The sequence below is a fragment of the Homo sapiens genome, chromosome 8 (genome assembly GCF_000001405.40).
Source record: "Homo sapiens chromosome 8, GRCh38.p14 Primary Assembly".
Taxonomy (NCBI): domain Eukaryota; kingdom Metazoa; phylum Chordata; class Mammalia; order Primates; family Hominidae; genus Homo; species Homo sapiens.
Genome location: NC_000008.11, coordinates 18655055 through 18678690, shown reverse-complemented (window position 1 = coordinate 18678690; position 23636 = coordinate 18655055). Strand labels below are relative to the sequence as shown.

Below are 23636 nucleotides of genomic sequence, written 5' to 3'. Positions count from 1 at the left end.
TACAGGCATGCGCCACCACGTCCGGCTAATTTTGTATTTTTAATAGTGACGGAGTTTCTCCATGTTTGTCGGGCTGGTCTTGAACTCCCAACCTCAGGCGATCCGCCCACTTAGGCCTCCCAAAGCGTTGGGATTATAGGCGTGAGCCACCACGCCCAGCTGGGAAAACTCTTATGTAGTATTTGCAGAAGCAAGGCGAAGAGAACAGTTTTGATTGGCTGGAAGTTAGTTGGTGGAAAGAATGATAGGCAGAGAGAAAGAAAAATAAATTTTTTAAAAGAAGTTGATGGTTTCTGATTGGTATATTTTCTAGTTTCCATTTACTGTTTACATTGGCCTTTGGTTTGTTCATGTAAAAATTTAAAATGCCAGAGGTACCTCAGTCTAATGAGCTCCCAAGGAGAATTTTTTTTAAACAACTTAAACTATTAGGTCAAAATATCAACATCCTCCTGCACTAGTTCTAATCCTGGCATTTGAAGGAATTAGGGAGGTGGTGTGTTGAACAAAGTAAATCTGGTAGTGCAAAGATAAAAACAATTTTATCTTCAGAAGCCTATTTTTCTTTTCTTGGCTCTCCTATGTTAAGTTATACTTTTTCACCAGGTATTAATTATTCTGCCAGATTAACATGTTCTAATGTTTTGTGGGTTTTTTTGTTTACTTTGTTTTTTTTTTTTTGAGACAGAGTCTCGCTCTGCTGCCCAGGCTGGAGTGCAGTGGCCTGATCTCGGCTCACTGCAAGCTCTGCCTCCCAGGTTCACACCACTCTCCTGCTTCAGCCTCCCGAGTAGCTGGGACTACAGGCACCCGCCACCACGCCTGGCTAATTTTTTGTATTTTTAGTAGAGATGGGGTTTCACCGTGTTAGCCAGGATGGTTTTGATCTCCTGACCTCGTGATCTGGCCGCCTCGCCTCCCACAGTGCTGAGATTACAGGCGTAAGCCACCGTGCCCAGTCAACATGTTCTAATGTTTTACTGTGATCCTTAGCCAAAGGAGATCTTAAAAAGAGACCTGACTTCTTCAGGGACGTAGTTCTACAGATTATCATTATCTGTATCATTTTCATATTATCGATAACTGTTTATTCCCCTTAAGTTGATGACTTGAGTCAGACTTGCCCCAAAATAAAAACTTTCACTCCTTACACAATATTGCTCTGTCTTCTAGGCCAGAGTGCAATGGCCTGACCTGGGCTCACTGTAACCTCTGCCTCCTGGGTTCAGGCAATTCTCATGCACCACCACACCCAGCTATTTTTTTTTTATTTTTAATAGAGATGGGTTTTTGCCATGTTGGCCAGGCTGGTCTTTAATTCCTGGCCTCGTGTGATCTGAACTCCTTGGCCTCCAAAAGTGCTGGCATTCAAGGCATGAGCCACTGCGCTGACCTGGTTTTATTTTTGTTAGGAAACCTAGCAAAGTGACAATGGTTTTTGTTACTGGGTTGGTTTGTTAGAGCTACCCCCTGCTGCCCACCTCTTAATTTCCCTCCTTCCTCTAGTTCCTCTGTATCTGTGAATTTCTCAAATCCTGCTGGTACTTTCATATAAATAAATGTCTTTTTTAAGATTGCTCAAATGATTACTTAGGAGTAAATGTTGAGCACACTATGCTCCTGATAGAGTGATATTTCTTGACCCTTGAATTTAATTAATAGCAGATCTTTACGATCACTGTTTACCCATTTTCACTTGAGTAAAGTGTAGGTGATGTGTTTGGTTTGGATGTCTCTGTTACAGACCGCAGGCTCTTTGGCTTCCCATGTAATGGAAATTAACATGGAGCCGAGCAGATTTCCCAGATGAGGCTTTCAAATCAGGGCTTGTGCTCAAGCACAAGGGAGACAGTGGAGGTGAGGCACAGGGTCCTCTGACTGGCTCTGCAGGAAGCAGCAGGGGGAAGCTGGTAGGTGTTTTTTTATTAGGCAAAGCACAGATATTGTTATCAAGGCTAAAGTATACAGGCTTGGCTGGGCAAAGCACAAAAGAGGGGTAGGGTATGCGGGTCAGCATATCTGGTTGTAATAGTTATCTCGAGTGATGGGCTCCTCGCTGGTCTGGCCAGCAGCAACAAGGCTGTAAATCAATTGTTCGGCATTTCCTACTCAGGATAGGACACTCCACAATCTTGGTTTCCTGTTAAATCTCCTAAGGCCAGTTTCTGGACTAAGTGAAACATATTTAAACATTATGAGAGCAGAGAGAATGGCTCTTTTCTTTGTGTGACTAAGTCCTCAGGGTTAGCGGGTATGGCATCAGTGAGGTGGTAGAGGTGTGGGTTTTGTGAAGAGAAGAAGAAAGAAATACATGAAGGAGAAGCCGCGTCCCACTCCTGTTGTGTCATCTCTAACTCCCAAGGTCGTACTGCATTCTTGCTCCCCTCCATTTATGAGTAGACTGTATTTGAACACATTCTTTTGGGGAAGGTGTACTGAAGCAGGTGTTTGAGAACTTCCATGCAGTATTTGAACATTGTAGAGAAAATGCTGGTCCATGCTGTCATTCCTGGCAAGCTTAGTGTAATATCCTTTTCAGAATCCAGGGAAAGGAAAAAGAAAACTCTATGCAATAATGATAGGAGTCGAAAGAGAAAAAAATATATATATATTTGCATTTTAAAGATAGTCACTGCCGAAGATCAGGGAGTTTCGTAGCATCATGATAACCTGAAGTTGACCATAAGGAGCTTCTGTGTGGGAATATGTATGGTGACAAGCTATTCTGCAACCTGTTGTTAGATCATGCCTGGCTTAGAGCTTAGGGATTGCGTCCAGCTTAGAGTCTAATAGGAGATTTTTGGAAAATATTTTTTATTTACTCATCCATAGTGAAGCAGAGACCAAGAGTAGCTGTGCAAGATGGCTTCCTGCTTGTTAATTTATGATATTAATTTATGATGGAAGTTGCTCTTCTAACATTAATTTTAATTAAGATTTTTAAGCTTTGCCTTAACTATCATTCAAGCAGATTTTATTTCTTTTTTTAAAATCCACTGTACCATGTTCCGATGGTACATTTAGTGTACCTGTTTGGACACGTAGATCACCTGATATCGGTGGAATTTGTTTTTCTAGGTAGATTCTTTGAAATGCTTAATATCAAAATTTTTCTGAACGGGCTGGCTGAGGCTCTAGTCCTAGCCTGACTCCCCTTATGACATGCCATTGTTTGTAGCCTGCAGTTAAGTTTTACAACATGAAATGCCCCCCAAGGCACTGGAAACACTAGTGTACTCGTTACTGCCACATTCAAATCTGGTGAGCCAAGTGTGTGTTTGATTCCAGTAAATAAATAAGATTACGAAGCTATCTCAAACAGTCTAATCTCCTTCTTGCACTCAGCTGCAGTTTAGTGGTGTCAGCGTCAGCTCTACTACTCAGAAATCCACTGGGGCAGGCCAAGGTGTTTACAGGAAGCAGTAAGACCTTCTCTAGATCCTGGTGCCCCAGTGGCTCATGACAAGGGAACGAATCCTTATTGAGCTTTTTCATTACAGTTTTCTTCTAAGGTCTCCCAGCATAAGTAAATCTAAAGGGTTGAGGTCCTACCTAACTAGACGTACAGATACAAGAAAGTACTTTGAGAGAAGCAGCTCTTGACTGTCACTCCGAGGGACAGATAAAGGTCCAGCAGATTTATATAGATTGATGACACTTTTCTTTATTGTTGCTTTTTTTTTTAAATTGGAGACAGGGTCTCACTTTGTCACCCAAGCTGGAGTGCAGTAGTAAGAACATACCTCACTGTAGCCCTGAAATCCTGGCCTCATATAATCCTCATGCCTCCACTTCCTGAGTAACTAGGCACATGTCACCACTCCAGGCTAATATTTTAACTTTTTTGTAGAGACAGAGGACTTACAATGTTGCCCAGTCTGGTCTTGAACACCCCACCTCAGATGCTTCTCCCACCTCAGCCTCCCAAAGTGCTGGGATCACAGACATGAGACACCACATCTGGCCACACTTCTTTCTTAATACATCTTCTTAAAAACAGGTAAAATAAAAAGGCCATTTGGAATACTCTTACTATGGTTGGACAGTGTTTTGAGGAGATTTTCTGTGCCCCATCCACCCCCTGCTGTGATCTCTTAGACTGTGATTAAGTGGTATTTACATATAGCAAAAAAACTTAACTCTTAAATTAGAATTTAAGGTAACAGTGTGCTTTTATCTTTACACCCACCTAAACTCCACTAAAATGACAGTAGGATTCGTAGACCTTCAAGGACCCAAAGAATGAGAGAGGATTTTTCAAAACATCAGCAAACTTTGAAACATGGAAACCAGATAGACGTGTTCACTATTTAAGTTCCACAGAAAAAAACTGGATGCCAAATACTAAAGAAAGAAATAGATCAATCTGTCCCCACAGAACGCAGGGAAGGCCCAGGAACTGGGGGCCACTGGCTACCTCTGAGGGCAGTGAGTCGAACGAGGACAGCCCTTTAAAGCCTCTAAAATTAGTAAGTCGACCTTCTGAATGCCCTCCCCTGCTTTGATAGCCGCATACCCTTCCTCCCACCATTTTCTTTTTTTTTTTAAGACAAGTTTCACTCTTTCATCCAGTCTGGACTGCAGTGGCACGATCACTGCTCACTGCACCCTCCACTTCCTGGGCTCAAGGAATCCTCCCAAGTCCTCAGCTTCCAGAGTAGCAGGAGCCACAGGCACACACCACCATGCGCAGCTCATTTTTTAATTTTTTTGTAGAGATAGGGTCTTGTTTTGTTTCCCAGGTTGGTCTTTAACTGCTGGGCTCAAGCAATCCTCCTGCCTTGGCCTCCCAAATCGTTGGGATTACAGGTATGAGCCAGCATGCCCCCCTGCCCGCCCTACAATTTTCTGTTCTTTCTCTCTGATAAGTTTAATCCAGAGGTTTTGGACTTAGGAAATTAGGCTCAGTCGAGGCCCACGGGGAGATCCCCACGTTGAAAATAGCAGGATTCAGTGAAAGGTATAAACGTTTCACAGCAGGGCGTCTCTTCCCTCTCTACTTTCTCATGTACTTTTTCTCAGTTGCTTGAAGAAGTGAAAGAGAAGACATGGTGTCCAGTAGAGCAGAGGGGGAGAGGGAATCCCCAGGACAATGGCAAAGGGAAACCCTGGGACAACAGCTGTGCCGGAGATAGAAACCAGCCAGATTAGAGGAGTGGGGGCAGAGACGATGCCAAGAGACATGCTTCCAACCATGGCACCGAAGGAATGCCTGCTGGAGGGTGTGAAGTTGACATAGAGATAGATTCGTAGAAAACTGAGTAAACAACAACAAAATAAGATGATGATTAACTCCAGGGAAATCAAAAATCTTACAAAAAATGGAAACGTAGCCTAGTGTTCTGCCCCATGAATAATGTCTATATAGTCACAATAATATGAGGACTGAAAATTCATGAAACTGCAAATTGTGACTGTGGTATGATTTTAATATGGGAGTGGAAAGAAAGAGACGGGCAGGGTGTGTGTGGGTGTGTGTGTGTGTGTGGATGGGTGTGTGTGTTAAGAGAACCAAATAAATGTTCACTTTCCAGAGTTCTGCAGTTGAAAGTCAATAGATCATATTGAAAATAGAAAAACCAAAAAGAGATTGAAAGAGGTGACTTTTGAGCAGCAAGAATCAGAGGTGAAGTTAAAAGATTATTTGTATTACATACCTTTTAGTAATTTTTGATTATATAAATGATATACATATATTGCCTTGAGAAATTTTTTTTAATGAATCAGAAGGAATGTAGACAGCATATATAGGTACATACGAGACTGGAATAATTTCCAGGGACTAGAATGGCTTTTGTTTATCTTAATTAACTTTGGGTTTAACAAATGCCAGGTAATGGAGACTACTTTTTAAGAAAAGCAAAAGGTTTCATCTCTTCCAAGACTTTATACTCTAGCAGTTATCAGACTAGACCATGTTCTGCTGCTAGTTGCTGTCACAGTTTTAGTCTATAGCAAAATATCAGTGAAAGGCTGGTCCTTTCTTGAGAAACAGTTGTCTCTTCTGAGATTGTCCATGCAACTTATTTTTATGCAACAATACCGATAATAGTTGGTGCTTTGTTTCTTTAAAAAATTTATTTTCTCATTTAGCTAAACGAAAAACTGGCAATTCTATTTAGCTCCCTAAAATTTCTTTTGCAAATTTTCCTGTTTATGAAATTTGAAGCCTGCTATCCACTGGGTGAGATTATTTAATTTGTTTGTATTGATCGTTTTGAATAAAACCTATTTCCATTTGGTTTGTCTTCATTGCTTTGTCTAATGCATGGAAATGACAGGGAACAAATGCCAGGCCTGGCATTCTCTCTAAATGTCAAAGTCCCCCAGGGATTGTTTTTTTTACAGGCCATTTATTTAAAAGGATTGTGCTTGTTACCCAGCAAGTTTTTTTTTTTAATAAACTGTGCACGTTAACTTCATCATGTCCATAGTTATTAAATATAATTGACCGTTTTTCTTGGGTACTTAAAAAATATTGCATATATTTACAAGGTCACTTTAAATTTATGTTTTCCTATGTTCTCAAATTGCATTTTTTATTATGGTACATGCTTGCTACTTTCCAACACTTAAGGCTTACCAACAAGATGGACATTAACAAATTTCATCAAGTACATTCCAGAATCTTTATTGAAAATACTGGTTATGGTTATGTTTTTCACTGATATGGTTTAGCTGTCTAAACTAGACAAGTTTTTGATAAATTGATAAATTACAGTTTCAGAGGATCAGGGTATAAAAGTTAAAAACAAAATCAGGCCCGGCGCAGTGGCTCACGCCTGTAATTCCAGCACTTTGGGAGGCCAAGGCGGGCGGATAACAAGGTCAGGAGATCGAGACCATTCTGGCTAACACGGTGAAACCCCATCTCTACTAAAAATACAAAAAATTAGCCGGACGTCATGGCGGGCACCTATAGTCCCAGCTATTCGGGAGGCTGAGGCAGGAGAATGGCGTGAACCCAGGAGGCGGAGCTTGCAGTGAGCGGAGATCGCGCACTGCCCTCCAGCCTGGGCGACAAAGCGAGACTCCATCTCAAAAAAAAAAACAAAAAACAAAAAAACAAAATCAGGAGATGACTGTGAACACAATGGCTTCTGGAATCATGGTGCTTCCAAAGAAGAATAGTTAAATCTGCTGTGGAATACCTTGGAAGTTAACCTTTAATTCATTGTATAAGAAAGAAAGTGATTCACTCAGATCATAACTACATTACCTCTTGGAAAGAGAGTTGTGGCTGGCATAGGGTTGCCAGATTTCACAAATAAAAATACAGAACACCCAGGTAAATTTTAATTTTAGACAATTTTTAGTGTGTCTCATGTAAAATTGGAGGGCATGCTTATGCTAGAAATGTTATTATTTATCTGAAGTTCAAATTTAAGTGAGCATCTTGCATTTGATCTGGTAACTTTCAACCTACACCAAGCAACAATCTGCCTAACCTCCAGCTCCTAGATCGGCGAAGTGGAGTCATCCTACTTACTTCCTAGGACGTAGAAGCAGGTGTGAATCTAGGTCTGCAGCTTTCTAGTTTATTGTTCTTTTTTCCTGCCTTTGCTGCCTCCCATCATAATTGTGTTATACAGCATCGTCCTCACTGAAGCCCTTGCCTTCTCAGCAAATGAAACCCTCGCTGTGGTTAAGACAACTTACGAAGCATTATAGAGACTAAAGGGAGATGGAAGACTTGATCTCATCTGCAAGGAGCATAAAATCTAATGTCATCTCTATTTTTCATCGAAGAAGCAAAGTGTACACTGTGTGGTCAACATTCAAATTGTCCAGAAGATTATACATTGAAAATCCCCCCACCCTGCTCCCCGAGTTGCTGTGTCCGGAGTCAGTCATTGTCGGTGGGGTTGTGTGTATCCCCTCAGAAATGTTCTATTCGTGCCCAGATACTCGCACACATTTTTCCCCCACAAAATGGAAACATACCGTAACAATGTTTTGCACCTTACTTCTTTCCTTTATCTCTTAATGTATTTACCTCCTTCTTAGCTTAAATGACTTTAAATATCATAATGATACATTTCTGGTGCTACTGTTGAAACTGTTCGTTGTACCCAGTTTTTTATTTGTGCTTGAGGTATGTGAAAATGGTCCACCTTTCTCATATAATTTAGAAAAACAGCCTGATCCGTCCCTAATCCGCCACTGCCTGCCTTCATCCCAGTCAACTTACCTCACCTCTCACCCAGATTCCACCTGCCTCGCTGCTGTTTCCCTTTTTCTCTTATAATCCTTTCTCCACACAGAAGCGGAGCCACCCTTTAAAAACATGAATTACAGCAGGTCACCCTCCCGCTTAAAATCCTCTAGTGGTCACCCGGCCAGCACAGAATAAACCTCTAACTTTTCTGGTTTAAAAGCCCTTCGGGACCTGCTCACACCACAGCTGGGCCCATTTGCTCCAGCCGCACCAGCCCCGCTGGGTTTCTCAGACCCACCCGGTTCAGTGGTGCCCAGGAGCTGCTTACCTCGCTCCCCACACCTGTGCGTGGCTGCTCCCGGTCACTCACGTCTTACGTTTCCTTGCCCAGAGGCCTTCTCTGACCATCCAGGCTACGGCTACTCTTTCCAGTGACCTTATTTGAATCACCTTATAATAATTATCTGGTAGCCTACCAGAAAGTGACAGAATTATCGTCATCTGTTATTTTTCTTATTTATTACCTGCTTCCACCCCACTCAAATCTAAGTTCTGTGTCTGTTGTTCACCACTGGATTCACGATGCCTAAATAAATAACTGTTCAACTGAATATATGAATGAATAAATGAATGGTTTTAAGGGATTTATTTTTACTATTATAAGTGTTACAAACATGAATTAGTCTTCTAGTTGTTATAAAATACTTTACTGTATTAATACTTATACCATATGCTATACCATTACGGGATTCGCCCCTTATCTGCAGTTTCAGGTAGTTACTCATGGTTTCACTTAACTGCCATCAAACATCGTCCAAAAACATTAAAAGGAAAATTTTAGAGACAAACATTTCATAAGTTTTAAATCTCATGCCATCCGGCGTAGTGCGATGCAATCTCACTGTCGTGTGCCATCCCATGTGGACGCGAATCCTTCCTTTGTCCAGTGCCTCCCCACTGTGGATGCTCCCTGCCCTCAGTCACTTACTAGCTAAGTTGGTTATCAAATTGGCTGTCACAGCATCACAGTTCTTGCCTTCAAGTCACCCTTATTTTACTTAATAATAGCTGCAAAGTGCAAGAGTAGTGAAGCTGGCATATGTTATCATTGTTCTATTTTATTATTAGTTATTGTTAATTTCTTTCTGTCCCTAATTTACAAATTCAACCTTATAAGCATGTAAGTCTAGGAAAAAAACATACAATATATAGGGTTTGGTCCCATTCGTGGTTTCATGTTCCACTGGGAGCCTTGGAACATATTCCCCCAAGGATCGGGAGACTACTGTATCAGAAAAAGTACATTCTAATTAGTGTCTAGTAGTTACAAAAAACAATTTCCCTTCATATATCAGCATGTGTTATAATCAAATATTTGTTGTGGTCATTGTACAATAGACTAATACAATGAGGATGCATTAAGCAAGGTACGCTATGTAGGGAGATGGAGTAGACAAGTTATAAATAGTCAGTGATGTGTTAAAGGAGAATTTGAACTATAAACCATCAATTCATGTGCACTGTGATCATAAGTTTTCTTAGCCGTGAACTTAGGATGATGGATATCTTTCCCTGTGAAAACATTATTTTTTAAATAAACTAATAAGAAGGCCTAAGCTGATATAACAAAAGGAAAAGCTAAGAAATGTAATACTGTGGATAGCATTGTTTACTTTTAACTTTATTAACTCTGATTTCTAGGCAAGACATTTATCAGAGTTGCAAAATTTATTACTGATTATCTATATTTAAAATAATATGTACACAGGTGTGTATGTGAACAATACACATAATACTGACTTTAAAGTATGTATATATGTACACAGGTGTGTATGTGAACAGTACACATAATAATATACTTACATGGTGACAATATTGTGTTGTGATTAGGGCAGTTAAAAGCAGAGACTATGGCTTAGGAAAGACCTGTCTGAGATACCCAGCTCTGCTGTATGACCTTGGCAGCCTACTTAACCTTCATAGGCATCAGCTGTGGCATTTCTAGAGTGGGAATAATACTACCTCTCTCATATATGGCTGCTGTGAGAGTTCAGTGAGATCAAGTGAAAGTCAGGCTCTTAGCAGTATCACATAGTGGGGCCTCATTGATAGTTATTATCAGAGGAAGATCAGTTATTTGAAATGGCTAGAACATCATCGCAGCGTCAGAAATACCAGGCGAAACATGAAATATTCAGAAGTTTGTCTATAAATCAAAAATTGGAAATTTTGCCGTGTTTGTTCAGTGATTCTTACTGTTTCCTCCTTACAATTTCTAATCACAGTGAGAGGTGACAGCGTGCTGGCAGTCCTGGCAGCCCTTGCTCACTCTCCGCAACCCCTCGGCCTCTCTGCCCACTCTGGCCGCGCTTGAGGAACCCTTCAGCCTGCCGCTGCACTGTGGGAGCCCGTTTCTGGGCTGACCGAGGCCGGAGCCGGCTCCCTCAGCTTGCTGGGAGGTGTGCAGGGAGAGGCCTGGGCGGGAACCCGGGTTGCGCGCGGAGCTTGCGGGCCAGCGCGATTTCTTGGTGGGTGTGGCTTCCGCGGGCCCCACACTTGGAGCGGCCGGCCGGTGCCGCTGGCCTCGGGCAGTGAGGGGCTTAGTAACTGGGCCAGCAGCTGTGGAGGGTGCACCGGGTCCCCCAGCAGTGCCGGCCTGCCGGCGCTACACTCAGATTCTCCCCAGGCCTCAGCTGCCTCCCTGCGGGGCAGGGCTCGGAGGCTCTGCAGCCCGCCATGCCTGAGCCTCCCCCACCCCGCCATGGGCTCCTTGCCCCGCCTGAGCCTCCCTGACGAGTACCGCCCCCTGCTCCGCAGCGCCTGGTCCCATCAGCTGCCTAAGGGCTGAGGAGTGCAGGCACACGGCGGGACTGGCGGGCAGCTCTGCCTGCCGCCTGGTTCAGGATCCACTGGGTGAAGCCAGCTGGGCTCCTAAATCTATTTGGGGACTTGAAGAATCTTTATGTCTAGGTAAGGGATTGTAAACACGCCAATCAGCACCCTGTGTCTACCTCAGGGTTTGTGGAGGCACCAGTGGGCACTCTGTATCTAGCTAATCTGGTGGGGACTTGGAGAATCTTCATGTCTAGCTAAGGGCTTGGGAATACACCAATCGGCACTCTGTATCTAGCTCAAGGTTTGTAAATGCACCAATCAGCACTTTGTGTCTAGCTCAGGGTTTGTAAATACACCAATCAGCACTCTGTATCTAGCTAATCTAGTGGGTAGGTGGAGAAGTTTTGTGTCTAGCTCAGGGATTGTAAATGCACCAGTCAGCACCTTGTCAAAATGGACCAATCAGTTCTCTGTAAAACAGAGTAATCGGCTCTCTGTAAAATGGACCAATCAGCAGGATGTGGGTGGGGCCAGATAAGAGAATAAAAGCAGGCTGCCTGAGCCACCAGTGGCAACTCGCTGGGGTCCCCTTCCACACTGCCTTTATGAGCTGTAACACTCAACACAAAGGTCTGCAGCTTCACTCCTGAAGCCAGCGAGACCACGAACCCACAAGAAGGAAAAAACTCCCAACACATCCAGCAAGACCATGAACCCACCGGGAGGAATGAACAAACTGCGGACACGTCTCCTTTAAGAACTGTAACACTGACCGCGAGGGAAGTCAGTGAGACCAAGAACCCACCAATTCTGGACACAATAGCATTCCAATCTGTTTCAAAATTGGTGTCCTCTTTGATAGTGGATGTGCTTGTCTCACCCACAGTAGTTTACATTGCTCTCTCTGTTGACATACTTGAACATTTGCCAGCCTTGAATAATGTGTGCTTCCAGCTACTTCCCCCCACCCCCCAAAAAAAAGCAATAGTGAAGCTACATTCCCACTTGGTTGAAATCAGGCTACAGCTGAGTGCTAGCTTACCTTGTACATGGAGCTTTCTCCAAACCCCCGGAGTCTCTCCCTGGCCTTCCTGACTTATCTGTTACGAGATATTTGAGTTGTAACTCTTAGTTTGTTTTTTGATGATGAACCAGCATTTGGACTTAATGTTCTAATCAGTTCATTAGATGTTTACAGTTGTAACTAGGGGAAAAATTCTTTAAACAGGCAGACCTTGGAGATACTACAGGTTCAGTTCTAGACCACAGCAATAAAACAAATACCGCGATAAAGCAAGCCACAGGAATTTTTTGGTGTCCGTATGCATTTAGAAGTTATGTTTACACAGCTGGGTGAGGTGGCTCACGCCTTTAATCACAGAACTTTGGGATGCCAAAGCGGGCGGATCACCTGAGGTCAGGAGTTCAAGACCAGCCTGGCCAACATGGCGAAACCCTGTCTCTACTAAAAATACAAAAATAAACAGGACACAGTGGCGTGCCCCTATAATTCCAGCTACTCAGGAGGCTAAGGCAAGAGAACCACTTGAACCCAGGAGGCAGAAGTTGCAGTAAGTGGAGATCGTGCCACACTGCAGTCCAGCCTGGGTGACACACAAGACTGTCTCAAAAAAAAAGGTATGTTTACACTATACTGTAGTTTATTATGTGTGTCATTGGAGCCTTCAGCAAGTTGTCATCGTTTTGCTTATGGAGGGTCTCACCTTGATGTTGATGGCTGCTGACTAATCAGGGTGGTGGCTGCTGAAGGTTGATATGACTGTGGCAATTTCTGAAAAGGCAGTAATTAAGCTTGCTGCATCATTAGTTTTGTTTGTTTGTTTTTTAAGACTGGGTCTCGCTGTCTCACCCAGGCTGAAGTGCAGTGGCACGATCACAGCTCACTGCAGCCTTGATCTCCCAGGCTCAAACAGTCTTCTCACCTCAGCCTCTCAAATAGCTGAGACCATTGGCATGCACGCCACCCACACCCAGCTGTAGACTCTTTCATGAAAGATTTCTGTGTAGCATTTGATGCTGTTTGTTAGCATTTTACCCACAGTAGAACTTCATTCAGAAATGCAGTCATTCCCCTCAAACCCTGCTACTGCTTTATGAACTATGTTTATTTCATATTCTAAATCCTTTTTTGTCATTTTAACAGTGTTCATAGCATCTTCACCGGGGGTAGTTTCCATCTCAGGAAACTACTTTCTTTGCTCATCCATACAAATCCTCATCTGTTCATGTTTTACCATGAGATTGCAGCAATGCAGTCATATCTTTAGGCTCCACGTCTAATTCTAGCTGTGTTACTGTTTCCACCACATCTGCAGTGACTTCCTCTGCTGAAGTCTCAAACCCCCCAAAGTCATTCCATGAGGGTTGGAATCAACTTCTTCCAAACTCCTGTTGATGTTGATATTTTGACCTCCCATGAATCACAGATGTTCTTGAAGACATCCAAAATGGTGAATCCTTTCTAGAAGGTTTTCAGTTTACTTTGCCCATATCCATCAGAGGAATCGCTATCTATGGCAGTTACAGCCTTGTGAAATGTATTTAAATAATAAGACTTGGCAGTAGAAATCACTTCTTGATCCATGGTCTACGGAATGGATGTTGTGTTAGCAGGCATGAAAACAACAGTCATCTCCTTGTACATCTCCATCAGAGTTCTTGGGTGACGAGGTGCTCTGTTAATGACCAGTAACATTTTGAAAGGAATCCTTTTTTCTGAGCAATAGGTCTCGACAATGGACTAAAAATATTTAGCAAACCATCCTGTCAACAGATATGCTGCCATCCTGGCTTTGTTGTTACACTTAAAGAGCAAAGGCAGAGTAAGGGCCTCAGGATTTTCAGAATGATACTTGAGCATTGGCTTCAGCTTAAGGTCACCAGCTTCATTGCCCCATTGCCCCTAAGAAGAGAGTCAGCCTGACTTTTGAAGCTTTGAAGCCAGGCATTGACTTCTCCCTAGCTATCAAAGTCCTAGATGGCATTATCTTCCAATAAAAGGCTGTTTTGTATATACTGAAAATCTGTTGTTTAGTATAGCCACCTTCATCAGTGATCTTAGCTGGATCTTCTGGATAACTTGCTGCAGCTTCTCCATCACCGGTTGCAGCTTTACCTTGGACTTTTATATTACAGGGTCTGCTTCTTTCCTTAAACCTCACGAACCGACATCTGTTACCTTCAAACTTTTCTTCTGCAGCTTTCTCACTTGTCTCAGCTTTTGCAGGGTGGAAGACAGTTAGGTCCTTGCTCTGAATTAGGCTTTGGCCTTAAGGGAATGTTGTGGCTAGTTTGATCTTCTATCCAGACCATTTAAACTTTCTCCATATCAGCAATAAAGCTGTTTCACTCTCTTATATTTTGTGTGTTCCCTGGAGTAACACTTTTAATTTTCTTCAAGAACTTTTTCTTTTCATTTACAACTTGGTTAACTGGTGCAAGAAACCTCACCTTCAGCGTAGCCTTAGCCTCACTAAGCTTAATCATTTCTAGCTTTTGATTTAAAGTGAGAGACATGCAACTCTTCCTTTTACTTGAACAGTTAGAGACCATTGCAGGATTACTAATTGGTCTAATTTCAGTATTGTTGTATCTTAGGGAACAGCTGGTCAGTGCAGTGCTCAGAACACATAACATTTATTAAGTTTACCATCTTATGTGGAGATGGTTAATGGCTCCCCAAAACAATTACAGTAGTAACATCAAAGATCACTGATTACCATAGCAAATATAATAATCAAATGTTTGAATTGTGAGAATTGTCAAAATGTGACAGAGAGATACAAAGTGAAACTGTGCTGCTGGAAAAAAATGTCACTGACAGATTTGCTCAAAACAGGGTAGCCACAAACCTTCAAGTTGTAAAGCATTATCGTATACGTGAAGCTCAGTGAGGCAAAGCACAATACAGTGAGGTATCCCTATACTTAAAACCTTTACTCTACAAAGAACTTAGCAGCAATCTTAATGTTTTGTTTACATTTAGAATAGTGTTATTCATACTAGCATAGTTAAGACACTTTCTCTGAGACACAACAGCCAGTTCAATAGAAGGTAATCTCAAGGTGAAGCAAAAGTAGTTTAGGAGAAATGTGCTGTGTTTGAATACATCTTATTGATCAAGTCCACCCCCAAAATAAATAAATGAATGCATACACACATTAGTAAAACTTTGAAGTATTATGTTAGTACAAAAGATAATTAGCAATTACATTTTTATTCGGTTTTTTTTTTTTTGCTTTTTGGTTTTTTGAGACAAAGTCTCATTCTGTCGCCCAGGCTGGAGTGCAGTGGCATGATCTTGGCTCACTGAAACCTCCACCTCCCTGGTTGAAGCAATCCTCCTGCATCAGCCTCTAAGTAGCTGGGACTACAGGCACGTGTCACCACACCTGGCTAATTTTTGTGTTTTTAGTAAAGGCTGGGTTTCGCCACGTTGGCTAGGCTGGTTTCGAACTCCTGGGCTCAAGTGATCCTCCCTCTGCGGCTCCCAAAGTGCTGGGATTACATTTGTGAGCCACTGCGCCCGGCCTTCACTTTCAGGTTTGATTTTGTGCATCCCCAGAGATGCTGGCCATATTCTTTGGCAGGTGTGTTTAGTTAGTATTGTCTTTGGCTACCTTATTTTTCTTCAGTAATAATGAAGAAATGGTGGTTCAAACTGTTGTAGCTCAGAAAGGTGCATTTGACAAGAAGCAGTCAGAGTCCCATTGCTCCCCTTCCCCCACCTCATAATATTTCTCTGGCTTTCTTGCTGTAGCTCCCACTCCCTCTCCTATTCTTGTTCGTTCATTTGCAATTTTAAAATGTGCATTTATTAATCTGTAAAAGCTGTGCCTAGGATTTGAGAGCAGGTAGTCATGCTATTGATCAAAAACCATGGCAAAAAATATTTAGTGAGGAACACAGGAAAAGGGAGCAGAGACTAAAGAAAGGACTAGTTTGGGAGTTTGGCTGGGTGATAGCTAAGGTCTTTCTCAAGCTGAATTGTAAAATAGTAGATCTGGAAGGGGGCAAAGAACACTAACTTTATGCAGCCCTCTCCTATTGCATGTAAAGAAAATGAGGGCCAGGTAAATTGATTTGTCTTAAATGTACAAGTCAGTGATAGGTGCCCCACCCACCCGTTTCAAATTCTTTGCTCATAAGATTGGATCTGTTCTCTGTTTTATCAAATCTTTCTCTCAAGAAAATATGTATAACATAATGTCACATATTAGATACTGTGTGTGAAAGTGTCTCACACATTGTAAGTAGGAAAAAAATTAGTTGACTCCATTAGCTGACTAATTCTTCACTAGGTAAAGTTCAGTCAGGGTTAGCAGCACATTTTGTATTCCTTATATAAGAGGCCTCTGAAGACAGAACAGATTCATCTGTACCTAGCATAATGCCTCCCTAGCCTCTGGAATGTGCTTAAAAATGATTACATGATGAATTATACATATTAATTATACTTCAGATTCTCTTTCAATAAGATAAGGGCTTGAAGAGTAATTTTCTAGTGTTCATTAATACGAATTTGTGCTGGGACATCTATTCATGGTTAGGTGGTTTTGGGACTGTGACTGGGTTTGGAAGTACATCACAACATAAGACTAATTGCCCGAGATACAGATTTCAGCTCTGTTTACATGTTGACTCGATTTCAAAACTACATCTTACCATAGAAGTGAAAAAAAAAAAATTCAAGCATGTTCTATTACCCTAAATAAGAGCTGAAAAGATGAATGTTGACCAGGTTGCTTATGAATATACATTCTCTAATGTGGCGCTCTTTAAACTTGGGCATGTGAAAACTGTCCAGTGGGTACGGGAGAACACAAATAGCTTAAAGGGAATCCATTTCCAGAAACTCATCTTCTGTATGTACTTCTCCCTAAAATGGATCTACCTGTGAATTCTCTTGTGGTCAAGCCTTCAGGCTATTTCTCCTTTTGCATCTCTGCTTAACAATTGCCCTTTGCCACTTAAGAAAAAAAAGTCATAACCCTCACCTATAACCTTATTTGGTACATCGCAAGGTGTAAGGACCTCCACTGGTGCGGAGGGGGCAAAAAAAGAGTCAATTCCAAATCCTAGTTTTGGAGAAGCTTCCTATAGTGAGAGATAGTGCAGTTTTTCAATATTATTTTAAGGCATAGAGACGATAGTAGAAGTTGAAGACCATTGCAAAGTATTTTGAGTTTTTCTAACCATTTTGATATTTATCTAATAACTGGTTTTATCATTAATTTTTAACCAGTGTCTTTTTCAAACATGCTCTTTCTCTGATAACACTGCCAGAGTGGTGCATATTTAATTCTATACTTAACAGTCTGCTTGATCTAAGTATCTGCATGAGAGCCAGCATAGCATTTGAAAGAGAGAATTGTGGTACGGATGGTGTCATAATTCTTTCTGAGTACAAATTCCACTGCGGTCACTGTCAGTTTCACTGAAAGTGGAAGCTGTGATATCCTCCATACTTTTCATAATGATTCAGGAACCACAGAGAAAAAAATTCATTGGAGTTTAGAGATGATTGAACTAAAATACACGAATTCCATCAACTGTGCAAAATATGTTGGAGAGAGAAAGAGAGACTCACGGTTACACAATGCATGGTAATGTAGAAAAGCTTCAGAGAGCCCTGTGTGGGCTGGCAATGACAGCACTAAAGCCTTGAATAAAATTGCATTTTATCGTCTCTGAGAAGCAACCAAAAGTGAGGAACAACGACTTAAAATTAAATTTAGACCAGAATATGTTTACCTCTGTAATTTAAGCAATTTTCTTTGCTTTGTTATTCTTAAAAATGATGATCTTCAAATTCAAAGAGTCATTCTGTCCTGGCTAGTGTCGAGAGAGGTATGTGATTGTGATCTGGCTCTGGGGTTAAGTTACAGAAATTACAGTTAGATAAAAGATTGGTAAGCTTGCAAAGCAGTGATTTTTTAACCAAGGCTTCCAATCAGAGTTACATGTGGAGCATTTAGAAATATTCATGCAGTTTCCTCGTCCAAGGAGCTGATGTGGTAGATCTAGGACAGGGCACAATAATCAGTGTTTTTAAAAATTCCTCGGTTGATTTTCTTGTGCACTGTCACATCTTTAGATAAGACCACTGTGGGGAAAGACTGTTTGTCCTAGGGACTGACCCTGGAACTATTTCCTGAAATCCACCTGTGGGTATATCATCATTCTTTGCTAGGTATCTGCTATTCTCTAGTACGCTAGAGTATTAGTTTCCTCGGGCTGCTGAAACAAATTACCACAAACTTGGTGTCTTAAAAACAGAAATGCATTCTCACAATTGCAGAGGCCAGAGGTCTGAAATCAAGAGGTCAACAGGGCTTTTTACCCTCTGGAGGGTTCAGGGGAAAAGTCTCTTCCTCGCCTCTTCTAACCTCTGGTGGTCGCCAGCATTCTTTGACTTACGTGTGTATTACTCTAATTTCCATATTCCTCTTCATGTTGCCTTCTTTTCTTTCTTAAATCTCCGTCTGCCTTCTATAAAGACACTTGTGATTGCATTTAGAGCCCACCCACGTACGTTCCCCATCTCAAGTTCTTTAACTTAATCACATCTTTAAAGTTTTTGCCATATAAGGTAACATTCACAAGTTCTAGAGATTGGGACCTGGACATTAGGGGTGCCATTCTTCAGCCTTCCACAGTGAGTTATCGCTTCACTGTATGTATTCATATGGGCTGCCCTGTCCCATTAAGGTCCATGTGGTAACTTTCTCCACTTAGCTCTAACTACCAGTCCATAGCAATGTTTCTCCCCAAACCCTGCCCTCTTGCAGCTAGGCCAGATAACCCCTCACATAGCTGGAGATAAGTTGTTTTTCTGAGCCATAGACTATGCCTCCAGTTTTAGCCATTCTCATGACAAATGCCTTTGGTCCTAAATGGACTAAGAGTATAGGATCAGTGCAGCCAGCCCATCATCCTCACCAACAAAGGCGCTTCAAGCATGTGTCCTAGCAACGGTGGCTCTTTAAAGCTCATCTTTTAAGAATAGAACATTACCAGATTATTTGAATATATTCTAAGAGAGGCACAAGTCTTATTATCTTTTCAAATGGGCTCTGACTTTGGCCAGGCATATACGATGCTATAAGGTTTGGTCTTAGGAGGAGACAATGTACTTAGTTGATGTAAACATGAAGTGTTATTTACTTGAGTCAGTGTTTGTGAAAAACAAGTTATGGAATGTGGAGAGAAGTTAATTAACATGGGATTTCATTTCCTCATCCGTATAAGGAAACCTTTGTTTCATGATCTCTGAGTTCAGTTCTGAAATCCCATTTTGTTGGTTCTTCCCTTACCATCAGAAAGGAGAAATAGGTGCTAGTGCAGATGCATTTTAGAGGAGATGGCGAGAGGCTCATGAATGAAGACCCTGCTGAAGTTTGAGTTGATGAATATTCAATGGCATTAATTTGTTCTATTGTTTAATTTTCTCTAGTAGTGCTGAATTAGTCACATACAAATAGGGGAGGCTGCGAAGTTCAGGAGGATTATTAGTGGCTAGGTCAGTGCTGCCCTTCATTAATACCCACCTCCCCACAACCCCCTAGTCCCCTTGGCTTCAGAGATGGGCCGAGTCATAGAACTTTCTCCTAGCCACGCAGATCTGTCCATGGGAAGGATAGGTGAACTGAACCTCTACTGGGAACTTTCATACTGGAGCTGGGAGAAATAACTAGTTTGTTGTTGTTACTATTGAGAGAGACAAGCTGTGAAAAGGTGTTGCTTGTTTTGGATGTGTTTCTTGTGTAGTGGAGAAACAAGGACTGCAGATGGTTGGGGTAGAAAGAGGCGAATTGAGATGAGAGAGAAATTCCTGGATCCCTGAGGCTACTAGAGCATACTTTTTATGATCTGACTACATTAATTATTAGGCCTCCTTACCCTTAAGGTAGTGTTTAGGTATTTGACATTTGAAAGTAAAAGAAATCTTAACTAATCTGTAGGATTTTCATACGGAGAAATCAGAGTAGGATTGATCAAGAGTTATATAGGTGTAACCACAGCTACTTAGAAGGCTAAGGCAAGAGGATCCCTTGAGCCCAGGATTTTGAGGCTGCAGTGAGCTATGACTGCACCACTGTACTCCAGCCCGGGTGACCAAGCAAGACCCTGTCTCAAAAAAAAAAAAAAAAGAATTATATAGTATCTATTAATATTTTCATGTACAACAGCAGAACAAAGAAATCGAAGATACTAACTAGACTGGTGGAGGTGAGAGACTATGACGTCTAGGCTACACGGGAAAGGAAGTAATGACTGCCAGGTTAGAGATAAAGAAGAATCAAGGGAATTCATTTCTTAACTAGGCTGAGTAGATAAAAAGATGGGAAGTTGTGTTGAGAGTGTATTTAAGTTTTGGATGCATTTGTAAAGCGTCTTCCTTTTATTAAGAAAAATAATAATTGTGATAAAGCACTACAAAGAACAAGGAAAATTCTTTGCAATTTTGCAATTGAAAAGAATAGGGATGACACCCACTGTCTGGATTCGGCATGCTACAAAAAAAATTCTATTCTATGTTGTTTACACAGTGAGAGGACTTGACCTGCAATACTGCAAGTCTGTGGAATTCGGCAAGATGATTTATAATAGATTATCTTCATGAGATATCTGGCTGATTGAATAGCAAGAATTTTTAAATTTACAATTCTACTTCTCTTTGAACAAAATATTCTTGAGGGAAAAAGTATTTGAAAAAATTTGTGCTAGAACAGAAATGAATGTATTAGAAAAATTTTAGCTGTTTAGCGGTCATTTAAACTTTCTACCTTTATGAACAGATTTTTTAAAAATCTTTGCCACATTTTGAATTACTCTGGGTAATATTGAGTATGATAGTAGCATCTAAAGAACCTTTAATGATCTGTCTCTTTTCATTTGTAGTTTCTCAGCCCACTGTTACTTGTGGGTTCAAAATGGCTCATGCAAGTAATATAATTCATTTAAAAGGCGTTTATCCAACGAAAGCCCTCCTGAGACTTGAGCCAGTTTTCAACTCTCTCTGCACTTCCATAGGTGTTCAGCCTCCTGATACATTAACTATATCATAGATTGGATCTCTTCAGTAATCCTGAGTTCTTCAAAACAAATATGCAATTTATAGCATAGTCTTTGTGCCTCAGTATACTCCGTATTTTAATTGTACGTTCTATCCCTTTTGTGTTTGAGAATACCTATCATGTCCTGAAAAATATAAAATGTGACCTGGTTTTTATTAGCTACTGTAATATTTCAATAGTTGAATTGACTATGAAGCCACAATTGAGAACTTTCATGAAGTTTGTCAAGATACTGGCTAAGAATACACGTATTGAGTCGTAAATAATATAAATTCTACAACTTAAATAAATTTGTACTGAATTTGGAAGTATTTTGCTGAAAAGTGAATTTACTATTGGTGTGCATTGTTTGCTTACACACATGTAAACACTTGAATGAGACAATGTTAAGGGCGAAAGGATAGAAATACAAGGCAGTTCTGCTCTGCTGTGCTGCTTGGACAACTTTCTGAACCTGCCTTTTCTTGTTTGAAAGACAAGAGGTTAGATGACATGTGATCCCCCTTTTTTCTATCTCAGAGTAAATGAAGTCTTGGCTAAGCCTTCAAGTTCTAATTGATCCAAGTCATTCTTTGAGGAAAAATGTTCCAACATCATCATAATATTGTTATGCATACCGTTCTTTTGTTAAATATAATTTGCTCTTGTGGTTTTGTACCTTAGAAATGCATTTGTGTGTTCCTTATAACATCTTACTTAAAATTCAAAGGTAAAGCCAGACACTGTGGCATATGCCTGTAGTCCCAGCTGTTCAGGAAGCTGAGGCAGGAGAATCACTTGAGCCCTGGAGTTTGAGGCTGTTGTGCACTATTATCATGGTCATGAATAGTCGCTGCACTGCAGCCTGGGAAACACAGCAAGACCCTGTGTCTTAAAAAAATGTTTCTCGGTAGTTGGTATAGTGGAACAAGCTGACTACAAGGACCTTTGTAATGCTAGAGCTGGGAGAATCAGGGTAGCAGTCTTGTGCTGACTTTACCATTATTGTTACCAAGGGTCTAAAGAAGTTTTTTATCCAATCTGCCACAACCACACACACCCAAAATGTAATACTTAACTGTAAGGCAGAATTGGGATGTTACATTTATAATAAAAACTGGATTAAGTCAGTGGTATCGAAACTCTAAAACTATCCTAAGATGCTTTTCCATGTCTGGCTTCAGTCCCCCTACCAAGTATCTTACTCTTTAATTTGCCATGAAAACAATTCTATTTCTTTCATTAACGAAAAAAAAAAAGCAGCCAGACACAGTGGCTCATGCCTCTAATCCCAGCACTTTGGGAGGCTGAGGCAGGTGGATCACCTGAGATCAGGAGTTCAAGACCAGTCTGGCCAACATGGTGAAACCCCGTCTCTACTAAAAATACAAAAATTAGCCAGGTGTGGTGGCACACGCCTGTAATCCCAGCTACTCGGGAGGCTGAAGCAAGAGAATCACTTGAACCCAGGAGGCAGAGGTTGCAGTGAGCCAAGATTGTGCCGTTGCACTCCAGCCTGGGCAATGGAGTGAGACTCCGTCTGAAAAAAAGAAGAAAAGAAAAAAGTATGAGTACTCCACTGTCCAACTGAGTGAAACTACAAGACCATATTTTCAATATGAGAAATAGCATGCACAGTGTAATTTTAATCACATCCTAATATTTTACTATAATGAAATGTAGTACAGTACTGTGCCTTATTGATAAAAGACAGTTATAACTTTGTGAAAGTTTCTTTGTTTCATGAAACGTTCGTTGTTCACCCAATGCTCATTTGCCTCCCCATGTATTCTTCACCTTTCTAAAAGCAAGGTGACTGACAAGGGGGGCTTCGTGCCTATCCTTTTATGAAGGAATTACTTGGTCATTTGCTGAATTCAAAATGTGGAACAGAATGGAAAGAATAATGTGATCTCATTTTCTCTCTTTACAGGCTCTGTACAACTCAATCAAGAATGAGAAGCTTGAATGGGCAGTGTAAGTGTGCTGGACGTCAGCCTTTTAATAATGAACTACTCACTTTTTTCCTACTGTCTTTATGCCTTGGAAGTGATCTTAGAGAAGGATTAAATATGCATTGCCAATTCTCATTTTACACCAAGTGTCTTACCTACTTTGTGGCTTTATACAAGTAAACCCAGATACAAGTAAAACCTATTTCGGTTTTATACAAGTAAACCCAGAGTATCCTGTGGTTTTTTGGTACTCAGTGTGTTCCTATTCTGCTTTTAAAATGGTTGCTGTACCTGTAGGTAATTAATTGTCTTTTAATTTTTTTTTTTTTTTTTTTGAGGTGGAGTCTGGCTTTGTCGCCCAGGCTGGAGTGCAGTGGCGCAATCTCGGCTCACTGCAAGCTCCGCCTCCCGGGTTCACGCCATTCTCCTGCCTCAGCCTCCCGAGTAGCTGGGACTACAGGCGCCCACCACCACTCCCAGCTAATTTTTTTTTTTTGCATTTTTAGTAGAGACGGGGTTTCACAGTGTTAGCCAGGATGGTCTCGATCTCCTGACCTCGTGATCCACCTGCCTCGGCCTCCCAAAGTTCTGGGATTACAGGAGTGAGCG

General features: G+C 41.3%; 1 protein-coding gene across 23 annotated transcripts in view, besides 1 other annotated feature; it reads left to right on the top strand.

Moving 5' to 3' along the window:
• The window catches only part of PSD3 (pleckstrin and Sec7 domain containing 3), a 557503-nt gene that overhangs the window by 406115 nt on the left and 127752 nt on the right, over window positions 1-23636 (top strand). For 22 of the 23 annotated variants that reach the window (NM_001412865.1, NM_001412866.1, NM_001412872.1 and 19 more), the window contains one exon: window positions 23006-23049. The exons of the other annotated variant lie outside the window; for it this stretch is intronic. In NM_001412865.1, coding sequence (NP_001399794.1) covers window positions 23006-23049 — 44 coding nt within the window. The remainder of the gene's footprint in view (window positions 1-23005; window positions 23050-23636) is intronic. 23 annotated transcript variants of the gene reach the window in all.
• Window positions 12249-13448: an enhancer, noted in NCBI's record as "BRD4-independent group 4 enhancer chr8:18522753-18523952 (GRCh37/hg19 assembly coordinates)". NCBI's record gives its function as "activates an origin of replication core promoter dependent on BRD2, P300/CBP, MED14 and CDK7 cofactors, and independent of BRD4, by STARR-seq in HCT116 cells {active_cell/tissue: HCT116}" and the evidence as "EXISTENCE:reporter gene assay evidence [ECO:0000049][PMID:35650434]".